Source organism: Homo sapiens, chromosome 1, assembly GCF_000001405.40.
Source record: "Homo sapiens chromosome 1, GRCh38.p14 Primary Assembly".
Taxonomy (NCBI): domain Eukaryota; kingdom Metazoa; phylum Chordata; class Mammalia; order Primates; family Hominidae; genus Homo; species Homo sapiens.
In genome coordinates, this window is record NC_000001.11 from 10,354,249 (window position 1) to 10,382,232 (window position 27,984).

Sequence of the window (27,984 nt, forward strand, 5' to 3'; positions counted from 1 at the left end):
TATATAAATCTACATTAATTTATCAAACTTTTGCTGGAAAGCCATGGCCTTTTCTTTAATTATAAGATCATTTACTGGAGTTCTGATTGTCTTTCTTGCAAAACCACACCCATAATTCATCATCTATGACTTTCAGTTTGGTGGAGCAAGAATTAGAAACCTGTGAAGAAAATCTAAGTTCAAAATCCTTTAAATTTTTTATCATTTATTAACATTAATCATTTAAACATTTTATCATTTTCCCCTTTCTTTTACATTTGTCTCACCCAAACTTAACAGTTATTTTTAAACAACTCACCATTTTCTAACCTTTTGAAAACATTCAACTTAGTTTTCACAGGAACAAAAATTATTTATGTTTTCATATTTCATTGATTTGCCTAATGTTTAATGAAGTTAGATAATAATAATAAGTACAACTGGCATAAACAGATTTGGGACCAGATACTACTGACATTTGATAAGCACTCAACTCTTCGGAGCGAAGTGTCTGGGCAAATGAGACATCTTTGTAGTTTAGAATGCTCAAGGAGAACTAGCCATCAATCTGTATATTTTAGGGATATGGAAAACATAGGTTAATATGGTAAGTGGCAAAATGGAGTTTGGTTAAGAGAACTTTCGTTCTGTTTGTCTAAGGTTTAATGTTTAAAGTTGAACTTACCTGCAATTTGGGTATATTATGTGTGTATCTTAGAGGGCTTTGCTAATACATTGATAGTGGGGTATAATTGACAAGGGACCATTCATTATTCCTTTTCTTCCCAGTCCTACATTTATGTTAATGCATTGACTTGGTTTTCCCTTAACTCCACAGCAACTTCCTATTATTCTCAATACTAAGTCACCACTGAAAGGGGTACTGATGGTGGTGGTCTCCACTTTCCCTCTTATGTCTGGCATTTTCCTTAGTTGGAAGTCTCAGGAGAGGGACCCATGTTATTGTAAGTCCTCTATGGAATTGTGTTCCATGGGATTCTGTGTTAATTGTCTGTCCACTTGAATTCACTTTGCTTATCAGCAAATTTTGTCTTCTTTATATATATATTTTTTCTGATTCTCTCCCTTATTTCTTTTGTTTTTTTGCTGCACTAACTAAAGCCTTTTCTATGTTTTTGCAGGCTCTTTCTTGATAAGGATATTCCTAGGTATTGTCTGTTTGCTTTTTTGCACGTAGGATTCTAGTTTATCAGAATGCTTTCTGTCTTATGTTGCTTTGCCATTTTAATTTTGTAGTCCCCTCCCCATGTAAACCTACTGTACCTAGGATAGAGTAGACCCTGTTCTGTACCCTAAGAAGCGTATAGCTTCTTAAATGATTTTTAGAGTTTCAAATTATTTTTTCATTCCATTTGCTAAACTTGTCAGTTTTATTCTTAGACTCTTTCAAGTTTTCCTCTTCTACATTACAAAGTAGAATGTTTCTCCCTTCATTTCATACAGAATCTCAGGTTTTGTTTTCTGTTTTCCTCTTTATCTGTCTTCTCTCCGTCAAAAGCATGAAGGGTTTATTGCTTTATAAAACCTGAGTCCATTGCAGTCTTGCAAAACTGTTCACTTTCTTCTCTGTTTTGTCCTGTGTGGTAATAGAGACAAATTTGGCTATTTGGATAGCTGAGTCTATGAGAAATATTTTATATATATTTTTTAACATTTATCTTTCTCCTGTCAGGGCTGCTTGTTTTATCTGTTTATTTTCTTCTTTTGGAATAGGAAAAATCCTGGTTTGGTATTAAAGGAAGTTTTTTAAAAAATCTGTCTCATTTAGGGAAGAAAATTGAAGGAAGTGATACATGACAATATAACCTAAAATGTTAAAAAAAATACAACATAAACGGGCTGGGCTCAGTGGCTCACACCTGTAATCCCAGCACTTTGGGAGGCCAAGGCGGGTGGATCACGAGGTCAGGAGTTCAAGACCAGCCTGGCCAAGATGGTGAAACCCCATCTTTACTAAAAATACAAAAATTAGCCTGGCATGATGGTGGGCGCCTGTAATCCCAGCTACTCAGGAGGCTGAGGCAGAGGATCGCTTGAACCCGGGAGGCGGAGGTTGCAGTGAGCCGAGATCGCGCCACTGCATTCCAGCCTGGGCGACAGAGCGAGACTCTGTCTCGAAAAAAAAATACATAAACATATTTATATATTTGACTGATGTTACTGATATAATGATTTTATCCCTCAATTTGGACCCCATTCAGTTTACATTTCAGAGATTCTCCTAATGAACTCAAAAGGGTTCATCAGATGTGACCATGATATAAGAAGGTGGCTTCTGTTTTGTTTTCTTGAGACGGGGTGTTGCTTTGTTGCCCAGGCTAGAGTGTAGTAGCTATACCTGCAGATGCTTTAAAAAAAGAAAAAAAAATGCGGCCGGGCACGGTGGCTCACACCCGTAATCCCAGCACTTTGGGAGACCGAGGCGGGCGGATCATGAGGTCAAGAGATCGAGACCATCCTGGCCAATATGGTGAAGCCCCATGTCTACTAAAAATAGAAAAATTAGCTGGGCGTGGTAGCATGTGCCTGTAGTCCCAGCTACTCAGGAGGCTGAGGCAGGAGAATCGCTTGAACCTGGGAGGCGGAGGTTGCAGTGAGCCAAGATCGTGCCACTACACTCCAGCCTGGCGACAGAGCTAGACTCCGTCTCTAAATAAATAAATAAATAAATAAATAAATAAAGTGCGGTAGCATGATCATAGCTCACTGCAACCTTGAATTCCTGGGCTCAAGCAGTCCTCCCTCCTCAGCCTCCCGAATAGGTGGGACTCCAGACACGTGCCACCATGCCTCGCTAATTTAAAATTTTTTTGTAGAGACAGGGTCTCGCTATATTGCCCACGCTGGCCTCAAATTCCTGGCCTCAAGTGATCTTCCCACTTTTATCTCCCATAGTGCTGGGATTACAGGTGTGAGCTACCACAACTGACCAGAAGTTGGTTTTTAATTGTTCATAAATAATAAATTCAAAGGAATATATCCTTCAAAGCAGTCACCTTGAAACCTGTTTTTCCTCTGATGCTGCTGCTGTTCAGAACATCTTGAGAAATCCATTTGGAATTACTTCTCACCACCTTAGGAGGCATACAGGAAAATATGTCTTGGGATTCAGCCCTGTTTGTAACCCTAAATTCTATTGCCAGCTTGATTAAATTGACATTTCTCCCCAGTCTTGGTTGTATTTCTTACAACCACCTCTCAAGAATTGCCAGTGTAATGGCTCACACCTGTAATACTAGCACTTTCCTACTAAGGTAGGAAGATCACTTGAGCCCAAGAGTTCAAGACCTGCCTGGGCAATGTAGAACTTGTCTCTAAAGAAAAAAAAAAATTAATTAGCCGGGTGTGGTGGCTCGTGCCTATATTCCCAGCTACTCAGGAGGCTGAGGTGGGAAGATCACTTGAGCCCAGGAGTTAGATTGCACCAGTGCACTCCAGCCTGGGCAACAGAGCAAGACCCTTGTCTAAAAATAAAATAGGCCAGGCGCAGTGGCTCACACCTGTAATCCCAGCACTTTGGGAGGCCGAGGCGGGTGGATCACCTGAGGTCAGGAGTTCGAGACCAGCCTGGCCAACATGGTGAAACCCCATCTCTACTAAAAATAAAAAAATTAGCCAGACTTGGTGGTGGGCGCCTGTAATCCCAGCTACTTGGGAGGCTGAGGCAGGAGAATCGCTTAAACCCGGGAGGCGGAGGTTGCAGTGAGCCAAGATCGCACCATTGCACTCCAGCCTGGGTGACAAGAGTGAGACTCTGTCTCAGAAAAATAAATAAATAAAATATATATTTTTTTAAATTGAATTACCACCTTTGGTGGGTATTCTAACAGAACTTGCTGCAGCAAGTCCAAAGCAAAAAAAAAAAAAAAAGAAAGAAACTTTTTTTGACAAAAGAAAAAAATGAAAGAAAAATTTTTCCCTCAATACAGGAAGACTTTAGTGGAGTCAAAATTTCCTTTGTGTTAACCAGGTTTCTGCAAGTGAAATTTTCTCTTTATGTTAAGTGAAAGCTTAGCCTGAAAACAGAAATGTGAAGAGGCTTTTTTAGACAAGTTCAAAACATTTGCCTCAGTTGAAAGAGTCAGTGTCATGAAACCTCAGCAGTGGTCCTGGGAGGTGCCACGTTATGGTTTGGAACTTAATGAAGGCAGCAGCATTGATAGAAATTTCTGTCAAATATCACCAAAGTCATAAATGCCGTCACTCTAAGAAGAGGGGTTTATTTAACTTTAGCATGGATGTATCCAGCCTCTGAAATGGGACAAATAAGCCCCGCCCCTTCTAGGTACTTTGACAAAAACAGGAACACAATAAAAGAGCAGACCTCTGGAGGCTGAGGCAGGAGAATCACTTGAACCCGGCATGAGGAGGTTGCAGTGAGCCAAGATCATGCCACCCTACTCCAGCCTGGGTGACAAAAGCAAGACTCTGTCTCAAAAAAAAAAAAAAAAAACAGATCTCACAATGATACAGTCAGTTCTCAAGTGGCATCTGTTGAAGCAGTGGATGTCGTCACCCAGTATTAGAATATGTCTTAAACCAAATTAAAACTTTACTTTACACAGAGTTTTATGGACACATGAAGGGTTTCCTCCTGTGCCCAGGGAGCCCAAGAACTATAGAAAGGCCTTCATTGTCCATCATTTCTGTTCCTGTTTGGGTCACTTGGTGGCTTTGTCTTTGACTTGTTAGTTGTTTCTCTATCTTCTGTGTCTTTGTAGAGAATTTTCTTGACCCACACTCACTGCCTCAAAGACTAGACATTTGAGAGAGTATTAAGTACTTGAAGAAGACTTAGATCTAGAAGCAGCTATGTTAGATGATCAGACCTCATACACTGCCACTTGGAAGATGAGGTGTGGTCATGGGGTTCAGTTTCAGAAATGTGTTCTCTCTGTTGATCGTTTCTGGAGGAAGAAACATGGGGATGTGTTTAGAGGGAGGATATGCCAGCTACTTATCATAGGAAGTCTAGAAAAGGCAGCCATAGTGAGGTCACTATTTGAAAAGGAGTAAGAAGGAATGTATTGGGCAGGAAAGAGTGTGCATAGACTCTTCTAGGTGAATCAGGTGAGCTGTGTTCTATCTGCGGAGAACTAGTGATGGTGGGGCAGACCAGGCATCTTCCCCTCCACTTGTCATAGGGGTCTGAGAAGGGAAACATGGGGCAGAATTGGGAATCAATCTGTAACACTGCTTTTAAACTAAGTGCTGTATTTCACATTAGACTTGCAGAACTGGAAGATTTAATGTCAATTAGAGTTAATGTTGTTTTACCAGTAGAAAAAAAACGATATTAGAACAATAACAACAAAATAGTTTGTGGGTATCTATTAAATTAAGTTTCCATTTGTTACATAAATGTAAGATTAATTTTTCAAATGGCTTTTTTTTTTAAGCTAACAAATGGTATTTGTCTGGCTCTAGTGTTAACAATTTATTCTCTTTTACTGAAACATCAGTTAAGAATAACCTTGTATTCTTTTATTTAAAATAAGGCTCTCGGCCGGCACAGTGGCTCACACCTATAATCCCAGCACTTTGGGAGGCCAAGGTGGGCAGAGCGCTTGAGGTCAGGAGTTTGAGACCAGCCTGGCCAACATGGTGAAACCCCTCCTCTACTAAAAATAGAAAAATTAGCTGGCGTAGTGGTGCGTGCCTATAATCCCAGCTACTCAGGAGGCTGAGTCAAGAGAATCGCTTGAACCCAAGAGGCAGAGGTTGCAGTGAGCTGAGATTGCGCCACTGCACTCCAGCCTGGGTGACAGAGTGAAACTCCGTCTCAAAAATAAAATAAAATAAAAAAATAATAAAATAAAATAAAATAATGCTCTCTATACTTAAACCCATCTACCCAGTTTCTACCATTAATCCCTTCAGATATATCTGTGGTGTTTCTGAGGCCCAGCAGCACTGGATTGAATGATGTTTAGCCCTCTTGTGATGTGAAGATTGAAGCTGACAAGTTACCAAGCATTCACTTCCTGCTGTCATCATTAACTGACAGGAGAGCTTACATAGTCTTTCTTTCTTCTTTCAGTTTCTGTCCATACTCACTTATCCATTTCATCTTAATCCCTTTGATTGACCTTACTATTTTTATGTTTATAGGCAGAGGCAGGCTTGTCAAAACAAAATTAAAAAAAGCACAACTGGCCAGGCACAGTGGTTCACGCCTGTAATCCCAGCACTTTGGGAGGCCGAGGTGGGCAGATCATCTGAGGTCAGGAGTTCGAGACCAGCCTGACCAACATGGTGAAACCCTGTCTCTACTAAAAATACAAAAATTAGCCAGGCGTGGTGGCGGGCGCCTGTAATCCCAGCTACTCGGAAGGCTGAGGCAGGAGAATCACTTGAACCCGGGAGGCAGAGGTTGCAGTGATCCGAGATTGTGCCACTGCACTCCAGTATGGGCAACAGAGCAAAATTCTGTCTCAAAAAAAAAAAAAAAAAAGCACAACTAAGTGTTCCTTAATGATGGGTGGGGTTGGGAGCAAGAGGATGGGGACCTATCTTTTCCTCCTAGGAGATAAGGGTTCCTCTCTGTTATTAGAGTTTGATAAACTGAAAGTGTCTGTTGGTTGGCGTATGGTTCTTTAGGATGATTGACAGTGGCAGTACCTGGACTAACGTGACTTTAGCTTCTTTTGGATGATTCCCTCTTGTCTTTCTGACCTTAGGACCTTCTACCGCTTTGAGGCTGTGTGGGATAGCTCTCTGCATAACTCCCTTCTTCTGAACCGAGTGACACCCTATGGAGAAAAGATCTACATGACCTTGTCGGCCTACCTAGAGGTGAGGAGACTTGGAACTTCAGTTGATGCCAACAGTCAGCCCTGAACAGTGTGCAGGTTACAGCAGGAAGTGGTCAGCGAAGATTCCACTTGTTTTGTCCTCTTTCTTCCTCCACATCCTTAAGTTTTTCATTTTATTATACATTGCTAACTCTTCTGATTATATTAGACTCTATTCCTGGGTTCTGTTTACTCAAAAAATCACATGACTCATTGCAGCTTCAGCTTTAGTAGCCTAATCACCATTGTTTGAAGAATGTGTGATTTTTAAGAAAATGTCACCTCTTGTTTTTGTAGTTGTGGACAGAGTGTAATAGTGGTTAATAGCCCAGACCCAAGACCCAGCCTGTCGGTTCAAATCCCTGTGCTGCCACTTACTTCCTCTATGTCCTTGGAGAAACTCTCTTTGCCTCAGTTTCCTCACCTATCAGGAGAAACAACATTTACCTCAGATAAAAATAAATGCATCTCTAAGGAGTACTACCTACTCTTGCACATATTATCCATTGGGTGGCTGTTGAAATAATTGGTGGAGCTAAAATCCTTCAGTTCTCACAACTGGGACTCGCTTTCCAAATACGTTCGTGTATAGACTCTAGTCACAGTACTCTGCCTGCACTTCATCAGCACCTACCCTGTCTGCTTTCAGCTGGATCATTGCATCCAGCCGGCTGTCATCACCAAGGATGTGTGCATGGTCTTCTACTCCCGAGATGCCAAGATCTCACCACCACGCTCTCTGCGTAGCCTCTTTGGCAGCGGCTACTCAAAGTCACCAGATTCGTAAGTTTTTCACACAAGTTAGCTTCCAGTGTGTTTGTTCAGTACAACAGAATCATTAGTCCTTAAGTATTCTCGGCTTACTGTCTCACGGTTAGTTTACAGTTTATGAACCATTTTGGTAACTGACACCTGGAATGTACTGACTTGCATGCTGACATTTAATAAAATGTTGATGGATGGACGAGTTATGAGGGAAGGAAGGAATATTACATTGTGAACACGTCTAAAACAATTTTGCAAAGACTAAATTTGCAAAGACTTTTAAATGTCATCATCATTATTTCTAACAGAGTACCATTGAAATTTTCTTCTTTTTAAGATTTGTTATGCATATTTAAGGCATACAAAATATGTCAGGAATAATACAGTGAAGGCCATACACAGTGGCTCATGTCTGTAATCCCAGCACGTTGGGAGGCTGAGGACAGAGAATTGCTTAAGCCTAGGAGTTTGAGACCAGCCTGGGCAACACAGACCCCATCTCCACAGAAAATTTTAAAATTACCCAGGTGTGGTGACACACACCTGTAGTCCCAGCTACTCAGGAGGCTGAGGTGGGAGGATCACTTGAGCTTGGGAGGTTGAGGTTGCAGTGAGCCATGATAGAGCCACTGCACTCCAGCCTGGGTGAAACAGTGAGACCCTGTCTCAAAATTTAAAAAAAAGAAAAGAAAAAGGAAAAAAAAAAAAAAGAAAGAAACAATACAATGAATACCTGTGTATCACCGCCCAGCTTAAAAATAAGTGTTACTAATACAATAGAAGGTATTATACCTCCTACTACTCACAATCCCCAGAAGTTGTTGATTATCATTTCATTCTAGTCATTGTTTCCCTCATATCGTCTCTCTTATAGTAAGAAAAGACAAATTTTTAGTTTTCACATTTATATTTTAAATTTTCTAGTTTATCATTCAATTTTATTCACCCTATTGAAATAAAGTGTTTAAAAGATAGAGATGAGGTGGGGCATGGTGGCTTATGCCTATAATCTCAGCACTTTTTGATGCCAAGGTGGAAGGATCACTTGAGGCCAGGAGTTCAAGACCAGCCTGGGCAACATAAGGAGACCCTATCTCTACAAAAAAACTTAAAAATTAGCTGGGTATAGTGGTGTATGCCTGAAGTCCCAACTACTCAGGAGGCTGAGGCAGAAGGATCACATTAGTCCAGGAGTTCGAGGCTGCAGTAAGTTGTGATTACATCACTGCACTCCAGCCTGGGTGACACAGGGAAACCCTATCTATAAAAAAATTAAATTGAGATGAAAGCGGACTCCTCTAGGAAAAGGTATGCTACTTAGGTTCAAAATAAGAAAAGAGCGGTGACAAATAAGAAATGCCTGGAATTATATTTGAGTCCCTGCAGAGAAGACACTATTTTAAGTAGCAGAAATTGAAATTTTCCTGTTTTTGTGCTTTAAGAGATTAAACAATTGTTTTATTTTCTTCAAATAGGAATCGAGTCACTGGCATTTACGAACTCAGCTTATGCAAAATGTCAGACACAGGTAGTCCAGGTAAGCTCTTGTGGATTGAGGAGGTGATAGTTATCTTTGTGTATGTTTCAAGTATCCTGTATTTAGGCTGGGCACGGTGGCACACACCTGTAATCCCAGCGCTTTGGGAGGCCAAGGCGGGTGGATCACCTGAGTCCAGGAGTTCAAGAGCAGCCTGACCAACATGGTGAAGCCCCCCTTTCTACCAAAAATACAAAAATTAGCCAGGTGTGGTGGCGCGTGCCTGTAATCCCAGCTACTCAGGAGGCTGAGGCATGAGAATTGCTTGAACCTGGGAGGCAGAGGTTACAGTGAGCCGAGATTGTGCCACTGCACTGCAGCCTAGGTGACAGAGTGAGACTCAGTCTCAAAAAAGAAAAAGAAAAAAAAATCAAATTATTAAGTCAGATTTGTTCTGTATTCTTTTTAATGTGTTTTTAAACTGCTCTTGTTCCTCTAGCTAGGCGGAGTTAAGCAGCACTTAGCATTTCTATGTTTGTAAACCGAAACATGAACAAAAGTTAAGGTTTTCTAATAGCATTTGATTAATGTGAGTTTGAGTCATTTTACAGAATATACATGGAAAACAAGTCAGGGCCCACAGGCAAGACTTAGATAAGTAAAGAAGACTTTGAGTATGAATCCAAGTAGCACCTAATTATTATACTATCCAGATAGTTTCTTGAGGAATTTTTTTAATTAATATAAATTCATGTATTTAATATGTAAAACCAGCATAATACTAAAAAAAATTAACAGGAAATAATAGAGGCTAAAGTTCTCTGTCATCTGTCAGCCAGTGAGCTACTGAGTGTGTGTATGTGTGTGTGTATTCCCTTCCGTCTTTTTAAAAATTTTTATTTTTAGGGACAGGATCTTTTTTTTTTTTTTTTTTTTTTGAGACAGAGTCTCGCTGTGTCACCCAGGCTGGAGTGTGGTGGCGCCATCTTGGCTCACTGCAACCTCTGCCTCCTGGGTTCAAGTGATTCTCCTGCCTCAGCCTCCTGAGTAGCTGGGTTTGCAAGCACCCACCACCATGCCCAGCTAATTTTTGTATTTTTAGTAGAGATGGGGTTTCACTATGTTGGCCAGGCTGGTCTCGAACTCCTGACCTCAGATGATAGCCCACCTCAGCCTCCCAAAGTGCTGGGATTACAGGCGTGAGCCATCACGCCCGGCCCCATAGTGTATAGACTACTACAGACTATTTAATATTTCTGCATTTTCACCTAACATCATAATTTTATCATTTTCTTAAATTGCATCCCAGTCTTCATAATTATCAAAGAATGTAAAACTCAGTTTTTAAAAACGTTCAGTTGCTTTGCTATTTAAACAAAATCCCATATATCTTCAGACCAAACTGTCTTAGTTTGCTACGTATAAGAATTATTAATTCGTGGCCAGGCGCGGTGGCTCACGCCTGTAATTCCAGCACTTTGGGAGGCTGAGGCAGGTGGATCACGAGGTCAGGAGATCGAGACCATCCTGGCTAACACAGTGAAACCCGGTCTCTACTAAAAATACAAAAAATTAGCTGGGCATGGTGGCGGGCACCTGTAGTCTCAGCTACTCGGGAGGCTGAGGCAGGAGAATGGCATGAACCCAGGAGGCGGAGCTTGCAGTGGGCTGAGATCACGCCACTGCACTCCAGCCTGGGCAACAGAGCGAGACTCCATCTCAAAAAAAAAAAAAAAAGAATTATTAATTCGTTTTGACCTAAACTTGGAATTGAATTTTTTTTCTGAAACAAAAACTTGTTTCCTCTTGTCTTAGGTATGCAGAGAAGGAGAAGAAAAATCTTAGATACGTCAGTGGCATATGTGCGGGGAGAAGAGAACTTAGCAGGCTGGCGGCCCCGTGGAGACAGCCTCATCCTTGAGCACCAGTGGGAGCTGGAGAAGCTGGAGCTCCTACATGAGGTATCCAGGGGCAGGGTTGTTCAGATGCAAGAACTCTCGGACAAGATTGCCAAAGTATCAGTCTTCCTCCCCGCTGCTGCATGTGATCATAGCTTTTCACTTTTCTCTCCTGAGGTCTTAACGAGCTTTGTGTTTGCTATAGCAGTAGTATTGATCTTCTCAGGTGGAAAAAACCCGCCACTTTTTGCTGCTGCGTGAGAGACTTGGTGACAGCATCCCCAAATCCCTGAGCGACTCGTTATCCCCCAGCCTCAGCAGTGGGACCCTCAGCACCTCCACCAGTATCTCCTCTCAGATCTCAACCACTACCTTTGAAAGCGCCATCACACCTAGCGAGAGCAGTGGCTATGATTCAGGAGACATCGAAAGCCTGGTGGACCGAGAGAAAGAGCTGGCTACCAAGGTGTGAATCCCTTCCTCTTTGCTGAACGTCTTCCCACAAGGCTCCACAAACTAGCCTCTCGGTTTATTCATTTTCAACACCTTTGTTCGAGGTGTTTGAAGGCCTGTGATAATACTGTGAATGTAGAAATAAAAAGACGCAGTTCCTACCCTCAACAAGCTTACAGGGCCAGGCACAGTGCCTGATGCCTATTATCCCACCACTTTGGGAGGCTGAAGCAAAGGGATTGCTTGAGCCCAGGAGTTAAAGACAAGCCCAGGCTAACATAGTGAGACCTTGTCTCTACAAAAACAAAAATTAGGCCAGGCATGGTGGCTCACACCTGTAATCCCAGCACTTTGCAGGGCTGAGGCAGGTGGATTACCTGAGGTCTGGAGTTCGAGACCAGCCTGGCCAACATGGTGAAACCCTGTCTCTACTAAAAATACAAAAATTAGCCAGGCGTGGTGGCGAGCGCCTGTAATCCCAGCTACTCAGGAGGCTGAGGCAGGAGAATTGCTTGAACCCAGGAGGCGGAGATTGCAGTGAGCCGAGATAGCTCCACTGTGCTCCAGCCTGAGCGACAGAGTGACACTCCATCTCAAAAAATAAAATAAAATAATAAAAAATTAAAAAATTAAAAAATATAAAGGTTGCAGAATATTAGGTCACAAGCATATAATAGAGATGTGTGTTTCAAATGCTATGGGAGTCAGAGGAGAAGTGTCTATGGTGGGGAGCTCATGAGCTGACCTTGAAAGGATGCGCAGGAGGGAGGCAGCAGTGTCGACACCTGCGTGATCAGGAGGGAGGCAGTGGTGTCCTGCGTGATCAGGAGGGAGGCAGCGGTGTCTTGCGTGATCAGGAGGGAGGCAGCGGTGTCCTGCGTGATCAGGAGGGAGGCAGTGGTGTCCTGCATGATCAGTCTTGGGGAATTCACGTGGGACTGGAACAGGAGGTGTGGAGTGAAGAATCTTGTATACTGCACTGAAGAGTTTAGAGTGGATGATGGGAGCAAGGCAGAAATATGTTAAACAGGTATTTGTGTTTTAGAAAGATTTCTGGCGAGGGGCGGTGGCTCACGCCTGTAATCCCACCACTTTGAGAGGCCGAGGCAGGTGGATCACAAGGTCAGGAGATTGAGACCATCCTGGCCAACATGGTGAAACCCCGTGTCTACTAAAAATACAAAAATTAGCCGAACGTGGTGGCGTGCGCCTGTAGTCCCAGCTACTAAGGAGGCTGAGGCAGGAGAATCGCTTGAACCCAGGTGGCGGAGGCTGCAGTGAGCCGAGATCGCGCCACTGCACTCCAGCCTGGGCAACAGAGTGAGACACCATCTCAAAAAATATATATATTTCTCTGGCAGCAATAAAGAGAATGGATTGATGGTGAAGAGATACACTGAGGAAGGGAGAATTCTTTATCTTTATTACAGTAATCTGATGAGAAATGATAAAAGCTTTTTAAAATTTTATTTTTTTTGAGATGGAGTCTCACTCCTGTCACACAGGCTGGGATGCAGTGGCATGATCTTGGCTCACTGCAACCTCCACTTCCCAGGTTCAAGCGATTCTCCTTCCTCAGCCTCCCAAGTAGCTTGGAGTACAGGCATGTGCCACCACACCTGGCTAATTTTTGTATTTTTAGTAGAGACAGAGTTTCACCATGTTGGCCAGGCTGGTCTTGAACTCCTGACCTCAGGTGATCCACCCGCCTCAGCCTCCCAAAGTGCTAGGATTACAGGTGTGTGGACGCCCAGCCAGATAAAAGTTTTTTAAAGAAGGCAGAGGTGGCTGGGTGCGGTGGCACACGCCTGTAATCCCAGCACTTTGGGAGGCTGAGGTGGGCGGATTGTGAGGTCAAGAGATCACTATGATGTTTTTATTTTTTATTTTTATCTTTATTAAATTTTTTTTTTTTTTGAGATGGAGTCTTGCTCTGTGGCCCACGCTGGAGTGCAGTGGTGCGATCTCGGCTCACTGCAGCCTTCACTTCCCAGGTTCAAGCGGTTCTTCTGCCTTAGCCTCCTGAGTAGCTGGGATTACAGGTGTGCACCACCATGCCCAGCTCATTTTTTGTAGGTGTTTTTTTTGTTTGTTTGTTTGTTTTTTGGAGAGGGGATGGAGTCTTACTCTGCTGCCAGGCTAGAGTGCAGTGGTATGATCTCAGCTCACTGCAACCTCCACTTCCCGGGTTCAAGTGATTCTCCTTCCTCAGCCTCCCGAGTAGCTGGGATTACAGGTGCCCACCATGACGCCCAGCTAATTTTCTTATTTTTAGTAGTGATGGGGTTTCACCATGTTGGCCAGGATGATCTCGATCTCCTGACCTCGTGATCCACCTGCCTCAGCCTCCCAAAGTGCTGGGATTACAGGTATGAGCCATCACACCCAGCCAGAACCATGGTGTTTTTAGTAATTCACTTTGGTAATCTTGAGAAAGGTTTTTTTAAGCCACTTGCTTTATCTTTATTAGACATACATAGAACTTCCCTTACTATATACTTAGTTCTAATTTCTAGAGCTGTTTGGGCAACATCGGAGCTGCACTGTGGGTTTAGGACATGTTATTTCCCCTCCTGCCTTGTATCCAGGGCTTCATTTAGTCATTGAGGTTTTTGTTTGTTTGTTTTTAAATTTACTGATTTATTAGAAAGGACAGTGCAAAGGAGACCAATGAACGGCAGATGGACGAATGCATAGGGAGAGGAGATGTGGAGCTTCCATGCCCTCCCCGGGAACTCAGCCCTTCAGGAGCCTCCACGTGGTCAGCTATCCCAAGGCTCCTGGCTGTTGACATTTTATGTTCAGCTTGCACTTCTCTTTCTCTTCTTTAGTGCCTGCAACTTCTCACCCACACTTTCAACAGAGAATTCAGCCAGGTGCACGGCAGCGTCAGTGACTGTAAGGTGAGCACATTGACTGTAATTTTTAGCCAGTATGTTGATAACTGATTTCTCCACAGCAGCCCAGATTACCTATTCCTGGTTTTTGCTGCTTTTAAGCAACTTGTCATGGGCATAGCATTGTATTTGAAAATTTATGACATACTGCTCTGGTATTCATTCTAATTTTTCAGAGTCCGAACACTGACTTCTGAAGATAAAAGTACTCCTTTGTGTCTCTTAGAGTGATTATCAGATGGGAAACATTTTGGCTTTTTCATGACTCCTTTGGAGGAGAATATTCTATGGGGAGGTGGTATGTTATTCTTTGCCAGGGTACAAGGAAACCCTGAGGTTCCTGGTGGCATAAAGTTTTATTGACTTCAACAAAGAGTGAAGTAAACACTTCAGAGAATTTCTGTGTTATTCACTCAATTCTAGTCAGCTTGACCTTAAACCCTCCCGGCTCATTCCTGCCTTGGGGTCTTTGCACACCTACTATTTCTTTGCCTGGAATTGCCTTTCTCCAGGTATTGCCATGGTTGGCTCCCTTACCTCTTTCATTTTTCTACTCCATTATCACCTCCTGTGAGTCGACTCTGTTAACACCTGATAATAAATCTGACAGCTGTCTGAAACTTTCTACCTACACCTCTTTCCTGCTTTATTTTTTGCTATAGCACTAATTACTACCTGATGCTTTTTAAAGTGTTTGTTGAGTGGTTTATTGTCTGTCTTAAGCTCCAGGGAGGCAGATCCTCTGCCATATTATTAGAACAATGCCTAGTACATGGAAGGTGCACCACTGTAATACCACTTATATTAATTCAGGGGCTGGGTGTGGTGGTGCATACCTGTAATCCCAGCACTTTGGGAGGCCAAGATGAGGGGATCGCTTGAGGCCAATAGGTTGAGACCAGCCTGGGCAATATAGCACAAATACCCTATCTCTACAAAAAAATTTTTGAAAAATTAGCCAAATGTGGTGGTACACACCTATAGTCCTAGCTACTCAGGAGGCCAAGGCAGGATTGCCTGAGCCCAGGAGTTTGAGGCTGCAGTGAGGTATGATTGTGCCATTGCACCCCAGCCTGTGTGACAGTATTTTTTTGTCTCTTAATGATAACGGACTGGGGGGCTGGCTGCGGTGGCTCATGCCTGTAATCCCAACACTTTGGGAGGCCAAGGCGGGAAGATCACCTGAGGTCGGGAGTTTGCGACCAGCCTGACCAACATGGAGAAACCCCATCTCTACTAAAAATACAAAATTAGCCGGATATGGTGGCGCATGCCTGTAATACCAGCTACTCAGGAGGCTGAGGCAGGAGAATCGCTTGAACCTGGGAGGTGGAGGTTGCAGTGAGCCAAGATCGTGCCATTGCACTCCAGCCTGGGCAACAAGAGTGAAACTCCGCCTCAAAAAGAAAACAAAAAACAAAAAAACCCCCAAAATAATGGGCCAGGCATGGCGGCTCATGCCTGTAATCCCAACACTTTGGGAGGCCGAGGTGGGCGGATCACCTGAGGTTGGGAGTTTGAGACCAGCCTGACCAACATGGAGAAACCCTGTCTCTGCTAAAAATACAAAATTAGCCGGGCGTGGTGGCACATGCCTGTAATCCCAGCTACTCAGGAGGCTGTGGCAGAATTGCTTGAACCTGGGAGGTGGAGGTTGCGGTGAGCCAAGATCGCACCACTGCACTCCAGTCTGGGTGACAGAGCGAGACTTCGTCTCTCCAAAAATAAATAAAGATAATGCAGGAGAGGCCAGTGACAGTGGCTCACATCTGTAATCCTGCCAGCTTGGGAGGTCAAGGTCGATGGATCTCTTGAGGCCAAGAGTTCAAGACGAGCCTGGGCAACATGACAAAAACCCCATCTCCACAAAAAAATACAAAAATTAGTTGGGTGTGGTGGTGTACACCTGTAGTCCCAGCTACTCAGGAAGCTGAGATGGGAGGATCACTTGAGTCCTGGAGGCTGAGGCTACAGTGAGCCAACATCGCACCACTGCACTACAGCCTGGTAGACATAGCAAGACCTTATCTCGAAAAAGAAAATAATAATAATAATAATAATAAGAAGAAGAAGAAGAAGAAGACATAGCAAGACCTTATCTCGAGAAAGAAAATAATAATAATAATAATAATAATAATGACAACAATAATAATAATGCAGGAGGGCAGTAGGAACATAAAAAACCAACCTTGCCCCTTTTATAAATGTCTTGATTCCTGGTGTGGCACTTAGGCCGTAAAATATTTGTAGGCTTGTTTTTTTTCTTTTTTGAAAATATTTTCACCAGTTGTGGTGGTACACGCTTGTAGTCCCAGGTACTCAGGAAGCCAGGGCACAGGAGGATCGCTGGAGCCCAGGAGTTGGAGGCCACAGGAAGCTAGGATTGCATCACTGCCCTCCAGCCTGGGCAATAGAGCAAGGCCTTGTCTCTTAAAATTTTACCTATGTATTTATTTATTGATAAATTATGTATAGGCTTGTTTTCTTAAATGACCTTCTGAAACAAGATGTATCAAAGTGAGGTTCTGGTTGTTGAAACTCCCTATTGTTACTGTAGAGGCAGCTTTTTTCAGCTGAATGTAACTTGTAGTGTTCGGTTTGCTTCCAGTTGTCTGATATCTCTCCAATTGGACGGGATCCCTCTGAGTCCAGTTTCAGCAGTGCCACCCTCACTCCCTCCTCCACCTGTCCCTCTCTGGTAGACTCTAGGAGCAACTCTCTGGATCAGAAGTAAGTACCCAGATTTCACTGAGAGAAGTCAATCTAAGAACCAAGGTAAATGTCAACCTTCCTCTAGCTCAATGGTTCTTGACTGAAGGCAGCACCTTCTCCCTAGGCAGCATTTGGAAATGTGTGGGAGCCTTTTTGGCTATCACAGTGACTGGAGAGGTGCTAGCTACTGGCATCTCTTCACATCATAGCTTACTAACCTTCTGCATCATCAACTCATCATGACTGTCTTCTTCATCCCTTTCTGCTAGTTTTATCCTCCATTCCTACCCCTGCTTGTCTCCCCAGTCATAATACCAGACATAGGAAGTGCTATCTTGGGAAAAATATTTTGAAACTGTTTTGGAAAAAAATATTTTGATTCCACAGCAAATTATGTAGGTAAGAAAAATAAAGACAAGGCCAGGTGAGGTGGCTCCCAGCACTTTCGGATGCCAAGGCAGGAGGATTGCTTGAGGCTGGGAGTTCGAGACCAGGCTGGGCAACATAGCGATATGCTGTCTCTACAAAAAATAAATAAGATACCCAGGCGTGGTGGTCTGTGCCTGTGGTCCCAGCTACTCGGGAGGCTGAAGTGGGAGGATCGCTTGAATCCAGGAGTTCAAGGTTGCAGTGAGGTTTTATTATTGCACCACTGCATTCCACCCTGGGCGACAGAGCAAGACCCTGTCCCTAAAAAAAATAAAAAAAAGACAAATGTAGTCTAGAGTCCATGATTCATCATCATAATCCGTTCTTTGCAACACACCCTCTTGTGCATCTCCATCAATTATGCTCACCTGGTTATCATCCACCTGTCTATCTTATTGTACCAACACTGACACAGGCAAAGGTGGCTGGAGAAAATAACACAACCAGGTAATTTCATTAAATTTAGGATGCCACAGACTGTAGGGACTATTCTGTGCCACTAAGAGAAGAAGAAAAAGCACTGACAACTAACTTAAGCATGCCATCAATTATAAGATGAATCCCAATTTAAGAAATGGTGGCTGAGTGCAGTGGCTCATACCTGTAATCCCAGCACTTTCAGGGGCTGAGGTGGGAGGATTGCTTCAGCCCACAAGTTTGAGACCAGCCTGGGCAACATAGGGAGACCCCCATCTCTACAAAAAATAAATAAAATAGTTGGACATGATGGCATGCGCCTGCGGTTCCAGCTACTCAGGAGGCTCACATGGGAGGATTGCTTGAGCCCGGGAGGTTGAGGCTGCAATGAGCCATGGTTGCACCATTGCACTCCAGCCTGGGTGACAGAGCAAGAAATCAGCCAGGCATAGGGGCATGTACCTGTAATCCCAGCTACTGGGGAGGCTGAGGCAGGAAGATTGGTTGAACCTGGGAGGCGGAGGTTGCAGTGAGCCGAGATTGCGCCGCTGCGCGCCAGCTTGGGTGACAGAGCTGTCACCCAAGCTGGCGCGCAGCGGCGCAATCTCGGCTCACTGCAAGCTCCGCCTCCCAGGTTCACGCCATTCTCCTGCTTCAGCCTCCCGAGTAGCTGGGACTACAGGTGCCCGCCACCACACCCAGCTAATTTTTTATTTTATTTTATTTATTTATTTACTTTTGAGATGGAGTTTTGCTCTCGTTGCCCACGCCAGAGTGTAGTGGTGCAATCTTGGCTCACTGCAACCTCCACCTTCCAGCTTCAAGTGATTCTCCTGCCTCAGCCTCCAAAGTAGCTGGGATTACAGGCACCCGCCACCATGCCCAGCTATTTTTTTTTTTATTTTTAGTAGAGATCGGGTTTCACCATTTTGGTCAGGCTAGTCTCAAACTGCTGACCTTATGATCCACCCGCCTCGACCTCCCAAAGTGCTGGGATTACAGGCGTGAGCCACTGCACCCGGCCACACCCAGCTAATTTTTTGTATTTTTAGTAGAGATGGGGTTTCACCGTGTTAGCCAGGATGGTCTTGGTCTCCTGACCTCATGATCTGCCAGCCTCAGCCTCCCAAAGTGCTGGGATTACAGGCGTGAGCCACTGCGCCGGCCTTTTTTTTTTTTTTTTGAGACAGAGTCTCACTCTGTCGCCCAGGCTGGAGTGCTGCAACCTCTGCCTCCCGGGTTCAAGTAATTCTCGTGCCTCAGCCTCCTGGGTAGCTGGGATTACAGGGGCCTGCCACCACGCCCAGCTAATTTTTGTATTTTTAGTAGAGACGGGGTTTCGCCATGTTGGTCAGGCTGGTCTCAAACTCCTGACCTCAGGTGATCTGCCTACCTCGGCCTCCCAAAGTGCTGGGATTACAGGTGTGAGCCACTGCACCTGGCTAACTTGATTTCAAAAAAAAAAAAGAATGAAGTATGAGAAAAAGTTAAAATGGGCTTTTTAGATTTAGTGAGATACAATGCTATGTTACTCTACAAAGATATCTAGCAATACAGAGTATAGGAATTTATTTCTCACACAGTAGTCAAGAGGGCTGGTCCAGGTCCAGGTCAGTGGTGCAGGTCTTCTCTGCACAGCCGTTCAGGAACCCTGGGTCTTCCCATTTGTTTGCTTTTTCTGCCATTTTCTAAGGCAGTGGGCCTCTGAGACTTCAGTGTACATCATCATCCCCTGGGAGGCTTGTTGAAGCCCCCATGGCTCAACCCCACCCAAAGTTTCTCGTTCCGTAGGTCTGGCTTGGAGTCTAAAAATTTGAGTTTTTGAACAGTTTCCCAGGTGAAGCTGATGCTGCTGGCTGGGAGCACACTTTGAGAAACATCGCTTTTGGTGTGGCCATGGGACTAAAAAGAAACATATAAAGGAGTAGAGTTCCTATTCCAGATAATGTGTTCAGAGGGCTTTAATATAGGCAGAGAGATTGTGTGACCCAGTGGCCATCAATGATCAATTTCCTTTCATAACTTCAGAAGGATGACACCAGTTGAACGCAGAGTTAACTTTCTGAAGCCAGCTTGTCTCCTCAGCTGAGCTCTCTGCAACTCAAGTTTGCAGCTGGGGTTTAGGGAGGGCCATTGTGTTCCTCCCAGTGAAACAGTACTCAGTATGCCTTGATTGTAACTGATTCTCTTGTTACCCTTTTCTTTCTAATCTCTCTATTTTAAAGGACCCCAGAAGCCAATTCCCGGGCCTCTAGTCCCTGCCCAGAATTTGAACAGTTTCAGATTGTCCCAGCTGTGGAAACACCATATTTGGCCCGAGCAGGAAAAAACGAATTTCTCAATCTTGTTCCAGATATTGAAGAAATTAGACCAAGGTGAGTACTATATTGAGCAGGAATGCCAGCTATAAAAAACAAATCCACAGGAAGAAGTGACTGGCCAGCTCTTCCCTGTGAGGTCTGTACTGTAGTCTGATGCAATCTGTACTGTAGTCTGATGCAAGTTGAGTCTGGGGTGAGAGGGCCAGCCTGGGTTTCTCCAGTTGGGTCTCATAATGCATCTGCACCCTGGCGCAGCATGTTGCCATGGCACGGTTTCGCTTTTGCCGTATTACTTTGGCAGATAAGATTCTAGGCCAAATAGGTCATTTGCCTGTTTCATCGAATCTAAGGACTTGGCCTAAGTGTGGCGTATTTTGATGGTCCTCAGCACGATTATTTTCTTTTTGTGAGAAACTAACTTTTGTCATATTGTCGTTTTTAGCTCAGTGGTCTCTAAGAAAGGATACCTTCATTTCAAGGAGCCTCTTTACAGTAACTGGGCTAAACATTTTGTTGTCGTCCGTCGGCCTTATGTCTTCATCTATAACAGTGACAAAGACCCTGTGGAGCGTGGAATCATTAACCTGTCCACAGCACAGGTGGAGTACAGTGAGGACCAGCAGGCCATGGTGAAGGTCCGTCCTGCCCTGCCTTGGTTTCTTATTGCCACGTGTGCCCTTCTCTTTTGATTTCTGCACTCTCTGTTACGTGGTGTGAAATTTCCCTATTCTCTCTGGTTTTGAACTTCCTTTGTGAAGTGCTATATGCCTTGGGAATATGGCAAGGCAGTCCCCATTGCTGTCTCTGTAGTAACTTTCTTGTCTACCTGCATTTTTCTTTCAGACACCAAACACCTTTGCTGTCTGCACAAAGCACCGTGGGGTCCTTTTGCAGGCCCTCAATGACAAAGACATGAACGACTGGTTGTATGCCTTCAACCCACTTCTAGCTGGCACAATACGGTAAGAAGTTTTGTTGTTGTTGTTGTTGTTTTTGAGACGGAGTCTCACTTTTTCTCCCTGAAGTGCAGTGGCTTGGTCTTGGCTCACTGCAACCTCCGCCCCCTGGTTCAAGCGATTCTCCTGACTCAGCCTCCCCAGTAGCTGAGACTACAGGCACGTGCCACCATTGCCTGGCTAATTTTCGTATTTTTTGTAGAGACGGGGTTTTACCACAATGGCCAGGCTGGTCTCAAACTCCTGACCTCAAGTAATCCACCCACCTCAGCCTCCCAAAGTGCTGGGATTACAGGCCTGAGCCACTGCACCCAGCCTAGAAGTTGTTCTGTGTTTTCTTTCTCTCTTTGGCTTTTGGCTTCAGGAATATCAGGATAAATAGGAAAGGAAGAATTTTTCTTTTCTTTTTTCTTTTCTTGTTTTTTTTTTTTTTTTTTTTTTTTGAGATGGAGTTTTTGCTCTTGTGTGGCCCAGGCTGGAGTGCAGTGGCATGATATCGGCTCACCGCAACCTCCACCTCCCAGGTTCAAGCCATTCTCCTGCCTCAGTCTCCTGAGTAGCTAGGATTACAGGTGCCCGCCACCACACCCAGCTAATTTTTTTTTTTGTATTTTTAGTAGAGATGGGGTTTCACCATGTTGGCCAGGCTGGTCTTGAACTCCTGACCTCAGGTGATCCACCCTCCTCGGCCTCCCAAAGTGCTGGGATTACAAGCGTGAGCCACCACATCTGGCTTGAAAGGAAGTATTTTTCAAAATAAATTTAAAAGAGAGGAAGGACAGGAGTGTAAATTGGTTGTGGGGTGGTAATGAGGCCTCTGCATCTTGTAAGGCATTGTCATGTTCTGAACCACCAGGGATACTCTGGTCACACATGTGCACCAATTATTTTCCTTCTTTGTCTTTTTGTTCTCAAGAGTTCTAAAGATGGGGCTCAGGGGAGAGAGTAAAGGGAGGACAGTGAGAACCTTAATGGTCTCCCAACCTCCAGCCCTGTGATTCAGCCTCACGTTCTGAGGGCTTGTGTCACAGGGTCCCGGAGTAGACGGCTTAGAGGACTAGGCCTGCGGTGCCAAATAGGAAGATGCTCCAGGAGGGAGCCTCAGAGGGAGAGGACTGTGAGGGGACAAGACTTGTACCCAGACTTCTAATCCTACCTCCCCGTTTGTCCCCCATAGGTCAAAGCTTTCCCGCAGATGCCCGAGCCAGTCGAAATACTAAGTGACTCTGCCGAGTGCCCTCACTCGCCTTCGAGAGATAAAGAAAGCGTTACCTCTCATTTCTCTTTGTGATTCTTGACGGTGACTCTTGTATGTAATCCTGTGGCTTAACTACTTCTCCCTCCTTGTCCAGCACTTTTCTAGCTCTCCCGTTCCCCATCTCCATTGCTCTGTACTCTTTTCTTTTTTCTTGTGCTGAGAATCTCGTTAGTAGCATGTGGCCTAACAAAAGGAAAAAATGTTTTTAAACACACACACACACACACACACACACACACACATACACAGACAAAAACACAAAAACTCTGAGGGGATCTGGTGAATCTCCAAATTATTGTGGGTGTACTTTGGCTTCCTTTTGTATGATAGGTCCCCATCATGACCACCTCTGATGTCTGTGCTGCTGTCACCAGGCACCTTTGTTTTTCAAGACAACATACTTTTTTTTTCTTTTCTCTGTTTGTGATATCACTTTAATTTTTCTTGGGTGGCTTAGAGACTAAGGGAGGAGACATCTGGCCTTTTTAGAACCTGAGAGGAAAAAAAGAGTCTTTTTTTCCCCTCTGTCTCTTTTTGCCATGGCTAATCCCTGCATTTCCATTCAGGGAAAAGGTGGTAGTGAGCATAGAACTGCAACAGTTATATTCTGAGTCAAAGTTGGGGCTTTTTACGGCATAATTATGGAATTTTTATTTACTGGTAGAGAGGAGACGAGAGGCTTTTTCAGTGGGCCTGGGACAGTGGCTGCTCTTGACTTTGTGTGAAGGGAAATGCCAAGGATGCTTCTGGTGGACTTCAGGGGACCCCAGGGTTTGGCCGTGGGCCGTGATGGCAGCAGGCGGTGGGATGCTTGTAGCTCCTCACAGCAGGATTCCTGCCCACTGTTTTTTCTCTGTTGGGAGGGAAGCTCTTTTCTAGGAGTGTCTCAGTTCTGCTTTTGGCATTAGTGATGGTGGTGGTACAGTTGGAATTAGTGCCATGTCATACACAAATGTTCCACAAGGCGGGAGTGTTTCACTTTCTGGTGATAAACTTGATGGTCATTGTTATGATTAAGATAATGCCGGGCAGGCCGGGCACAGTGGCTCACGCCTGTAATCCAAGCACTTGGGGAGGCCGAGGCGGGCAGATCACGAGATCAGGAGTTCAAGACCAGCCTGGCCAATATGATGAAACCCCGTCTCTACTAAAAATACAAAATTAGTCGGGTATGGTGGCACATGCCTGTAATTCCAGCTGCTTGGGAGCCTGAGGCAGGAGAACTGCTTGAACCCAGGAGGCAGAGGTTGCAGTGAGCCAAGATCGCGCTATTGCACTCCAGCCTGGGTGACAGAGCAAGACTCTGCCTCAGAAAAAAAAAAAAATAATAATGCTGGGTAGTGACCTTGTGATTGTTACAGCTCCCTTTGATCAAAGAAATATAGCTTTCAGGCATAAACCTGGAAGTCTCCCTCTGAATCCAGCAGTTGTTTTCATTGATGCTTGTCAGGTTGAAGATGCTTTCAGTGATGCTCTCTATACTCATAAATAAGCAAATGTGGCAGGCTTTGCTTTCTGGATCCCAGGATTAAAACTAACCGTGACCACTACTCCAAACAAAACACAATATGCCTAGGGGCACGGATGAACGTCCAGGGAGCCCGGGCCCCAGGCTTTGTTGCGTGTTCCCTGCTCCTCTCCATCTGGTGTGGAAACACTGCCCAGGGAGAAAGGAGGAAGCTCACTGTGGACAGTCTTCTTTCCTTCTGACAGACCAGGTCATCTGGCTTCCGAGATCATCAGAGAAGATAAGTCTGTCTCTTTCAGCTGCCAGTAAGTTTTCCAGGATGAGAGGGGAAAAAGAAAGCCTCCAGTGACTTCAGTTGCTTTGCCAGTTGTCTTGGGATTGTTTTACACCATCCTTTACTTCCCTTGCTCAGACCTCTCTGTTTCACCATTGCTCAGGCATTCAGGAAAGTATCTGCTCACTCCCACTTGGTGAGTCCTCGGCCTTGAGGTTGCTGACTCTCAGGCGTTAGGCAGCTGGATGACTTCCCGCTTCACGCAGCAAAGGCCAGGGGCTTGCGCGCCTCTGCAGAGTTGTTGCTAGGGAGACTTGTGTCATCATCCACAACCTTGTTTCTCACTTCCTGGTTGGGCTCATCTCTGAAGAACAGGTCTCCCAGCTTCGCTCCTTATCACTGCATTGTGAAGAGGAGGAAAAGTGAATCACGGAGAGAGAAAGGAAAGGATAGAATCACAGGCTGCGTCTGCACCTGAAAAGTGACCCGCGGAAACTCTATGGCGGATTTTTTTTTTAACTTTCTTCTTCCTGTTAAAACATAGGTCACTAACTGTGATGTTATTTGTTTTCTAAGTGGTATGTGAGATTTTCTAATGTAGTTAGAAGTTTCATTGTCTGATGGACACAATATGCCCTTCCGGTTCTATTCAAACCAGCAGGATCTGTCGGTGCTTAGAGATGGCTGCCTGGACTGGAATCAAATCTAATTTCAGGGAAATGAAGATGGAATTTGAAGGTCACTTTTAAAATTAAGTCATTGATGCTGCTGTTACAGAGTGTGACAGAGGATCCATGTCTGTGACACAGGACGGTGGGAAGCCTGAGAGAGAGTGAAATTATGTGATACACTGAAATGACTTTTGTTTTTCTTCTAACTCATACAAAACTGGTTTGGAAAGTCTTTGCTTTGGAAGCGTCAGACATTAGAACAGGCCAAACTGGACTGTCTGTTCATAGCGTGCCTGAATAAGAAGGCCTCTTAGGGAGCCAGAGGGAGCAGAGTGGTCGTGTCCTGCGTGCTCTTCACCCTCTGGGGCGCCCCTGCTGCGGCTGGCAGGTGCAGACAGCCTTTGCTGGTCCCCAGCACGTCCAGGGTGGGTGCTCCCTTGCCCGACAGAACCATCCCCACTGTGAGGCTGTGAGAGATTTGTGGCAGGAACTGTTTATGAGGCTCTAGTTGTTGCTGTTGTGGCGGGAAAGTTAAGAAACATAGCCCTTAAGGAAACCACCTTTATGTATTTTCTTAAAGCACGCCTTTAAATAAGCAAAAACTTTAAAAGGCAGGAAAGAGAATTCTTAGGCAAATTCAGAGAAATAAGTGCTAGTTAATACTAATCACCTCCTCCTCTGTCTCTCATCCTCCTTTCTCCCATCAAAGCAAAATATGGCCTCACCACCAGCCCCAAATCAGTGCTCAGACCCTCTCTGTGTCTGTGTGCCCTCCTGGGAGTCAGTCAGCGCTCAGGCCAGGACTGTGCAGGGCCAGCCAGCCCATGCGCTAGTCAGGAGCACAGGCAAGGGGTGCTTGTGGCAGTGGCCGGGCACCTGAGCCCCAGCTCGTTGTTAAACGTGCTGACGGCAAGGGGCAATGGAGTGAGTTTCCCAACTAAGAAACCACTATTATATATTTTTTCCCTTCAGTCACATAGACTTCAGACAACTCTCCTATTTTTTATGGATTTTTCAGCTCATTTCAGATGAAGGAACTAAGTCATTGTGAACTGTCTCTTGAGATCTAAAAACAAGATGACTTTTCCTGGCACATATTCCAAAGCAAAGACTTTGTTGCCTGCTGCTTATTGTCTAATTTACAGGGATATTTAATTTTGTCAGGTCTATGTATATTTATCCAGCTATACTTACTTGCACAGTGGATTGGAGAGAAAGGATTCTCCAGTGTGCACACTCATCGGTACTCTTTCTGCATTTCCCTCGTGCTGTGTCCCGCTCGGGTTCCAATGGACAGTATCAGGGCTTGTTTGACTTAGGTCTTTCAGTTTTCCTTTCGGTTCCCTTTTAAAAATGTGATTGTTAACCTGCCTCTTGAAAGATTCAACCGGGTGTGGTGGCTCACGCCTGTAATCCCAGCACATTGGGAGGCCAAGGCAGGTGGATCACCTGAGGTCAGAAGTTTGAGACCAGCCTGGCCAACATGGTGAAACCCCGTCTCTACTAAAAATACAAAAAGTAGCCAGGCGTGGTGGCGTGTGCCTGTAGTCCCAGCTACTTGGGAGGCTGAGGCAGGAGAATAGCTTGAACCTGGGAGGTGGAGGCTGCAGTGAGTTGAGACTGCACCATTGCACTCCAGCCTGGGTGACAAAGCAGGACTCCGTCTCAAAAAAAAAGAAAAGATTCATGATGCTGCTGCTCCCAGAAGGTTTGCTGGATGTGTTTACATAGGACTCTAACTTGTGTGCACTACAGTTGTTCACCAGGGCCAGTGATTCACCCCAGTGTGTGGCCAGACCATGACTGTGTAGCAGGAATGTTTTAATTTGTGCTTCCTTAGTAAATTGAAATATCAGCTGAGAGATTATTTGCTGCTGTTATTCAAAAGGCCATTTATGAAGTTAGTATTTGAGCCCCATAAGATCTTTAAAAAGCCTCCAATCATTTAAAGGAAGAAATCAGAGTTGCTATAAAATTCAGTAAAAAGCTCATAGCCAAACGGCTGTGCTCAGATGGAAAGTCTGAGCTGAGGTTGGTCTCTTGCCAAACCGTGGCTGTTGTGTGTTGTTCTTCATGTCTTCGAGTTCATTTTTTTTCATTCTGCCTATTCTGGCATCAGCTCACTTGAGGAGTCCCTCAGCCTTCTTGTATTTAAGGCATCGTCTTAGACTTTGTGGCTCTAAAGTACCTGTCTGTTGAGATTTCAAGTCTCTTGTCACCATCCTCACACATGACAACAAAACCCATAATGCATAAGTGGCCTTTTTGAACCAAGACTTTGCAAACTGATCTCTCCCCCGTGAAGGAGTTGAGCACATTAGCAACAATGTACATTAATTTTGGATTTTCATTTTCATGTTTTATTTTGTAAATATTATCTGATGTTTGGAGCTTGAGTATACAGACTGTAAATATAGTTCTTGTATTTGTACTAATTCTGATTCTTTTGCTGTATAGCCTTAGATGTGCAATGCAGACACTATCTAACTGTGTGTGGTAACCTTGCGTCACGGAGCTGTTAGTGAACGAGGTAAAAATAATAAAGGTACAGCCAGTGCATCAGAAGGTTCTCGATGTGCATTTATTCTTGCACCCCTTGAAAGGTAATTGCACAAAGATTTCTTTTCTTGATTTGCAAAGATAATACCTTTCTAAGACAGAAGTCACGATATCATCGCTTAAGTATTCCTTTCTGATATTCAAAATCGTGGTTTTTATATAACCAAGAAAGCTAATATGGTGCTGTTTCTTTGAAAGTACTTTTCTCCCAAAGATGTAAGTGGTTATTTTAGCTAGAAGATTTGTTGTTTTTCTCCTGAAGCCTCCTTGTATGCCTTCCAATAATTCTGTAGTGTTGTGTTGGCTTCTTTTTTTTTTTTTTTTTCTTTTTGAGACAGAGTCTTGCTCTGTCACCCATGCTGGAGTGCAGTGATGTGATCTCGGGTCACTGCAACCTCTGCCTCCTGGGTTCAAGCGATTCTCCTGCCTCAGACTCCTGAGTAGCTGGGATTACAGGCGTGCGCCACCATGCGTGGCTAATTTTTGTATTATTATTATTATTATTATTATTATTATTTTATTTATTTATTTATTTATTTTGAGATGGAGTCTCACTCTGTCGTCCAGGCTGGAGTACAGTGGCATGATCTCGGCTCACTGCAACTTTCCACCTCCCGGGTTCAAGCGATTCTCCC

At 44.4% G+C, this 27,984-nt stretch overlaps 1 protein-coding gene across 3 annotated transcripts in view, besides 2 other annotated features; it reads left to right on the forward strand.

Moving 5' to 3' along the window:
* Nucleotides 1-27,355, forward strand: part of KIF1B (kinesin family member 1B) — a 171,034-nt gene extending 143,679 nt beyond the window's left edge. For all 3 annotated transcript variants that reach the window (NM_001365951.3, NM_015074.3, NM_001365952.1), the window contains 11 exons: nt 6,681-6,795; nt 7,444-7,577; nt 9,035-9,096; nt 10,852-10,997; nt 11,161-11,400; nt 14,219-14,290; nt 16,893-17,014; nt 20,068-20,217; nt 20,606-20,798; nt 21,007-21,125; nt 22,297-27,355. In NM_001365951.3, coding sequence (NP_001352880.1) covers nt 6,681-6,795; nt 7,444-7,577; nt 9,035-9,096; nt 10,852-10,997; nt 11,161-11,400; nt 14,219-14,290; nt 16,893-17,014; nt 20,068-20,217; nt 20,606-20,798; nt 21,007-21,125; nt 22,297-22,339 — 1,396 coding nt within the window. In that variant the 3' untranslated portion in view covers nt 22,340-27,355. The remainder of the gene's footprint in view (nt 1-6,680; nt 6,796-7,443; nt 7,578-9,034; nt 9,097-10,851; nt 10,998-11,160; nt 11,401-14,218; nt 14,291-16,892; nt 17,015-20,067; nt 20,218-20,605; nt 20,799-21,006; nt 21,126-22,296) is intronic.
* Nucleotides 23,319-23,418: a silencer, noted in NCBI's record as "silent region_244". NCBI's record gives its function as "represses an Ori minimal core promoter by ATAC-STARR-seq in GM12878 lymphoblastoid cells {active_cell/tissue: GM12878}" and the evidence as "EXISTENCE:reporter gene assay evidence [ECO:0000049][PMID:35858748]".
* Nucleotides 23,466-23,966: an enhancer, noted in NCBI's record as "H3K4me1 hESC enhancer chr1:10437772-10438272 (GRCh37/hg19 assembly coordinates)". NCBI's record gives its function as "activates a minimal SCP1, AML or CMV promoter by ChIP-STARR-seq in naive H9 embryonic stem cells {active_cell/tissue: H9 hESC(naive)}" and the evidence as "EXISTENCE:reporter gene assay evidence [ECO:0000049][PMID:30033119]".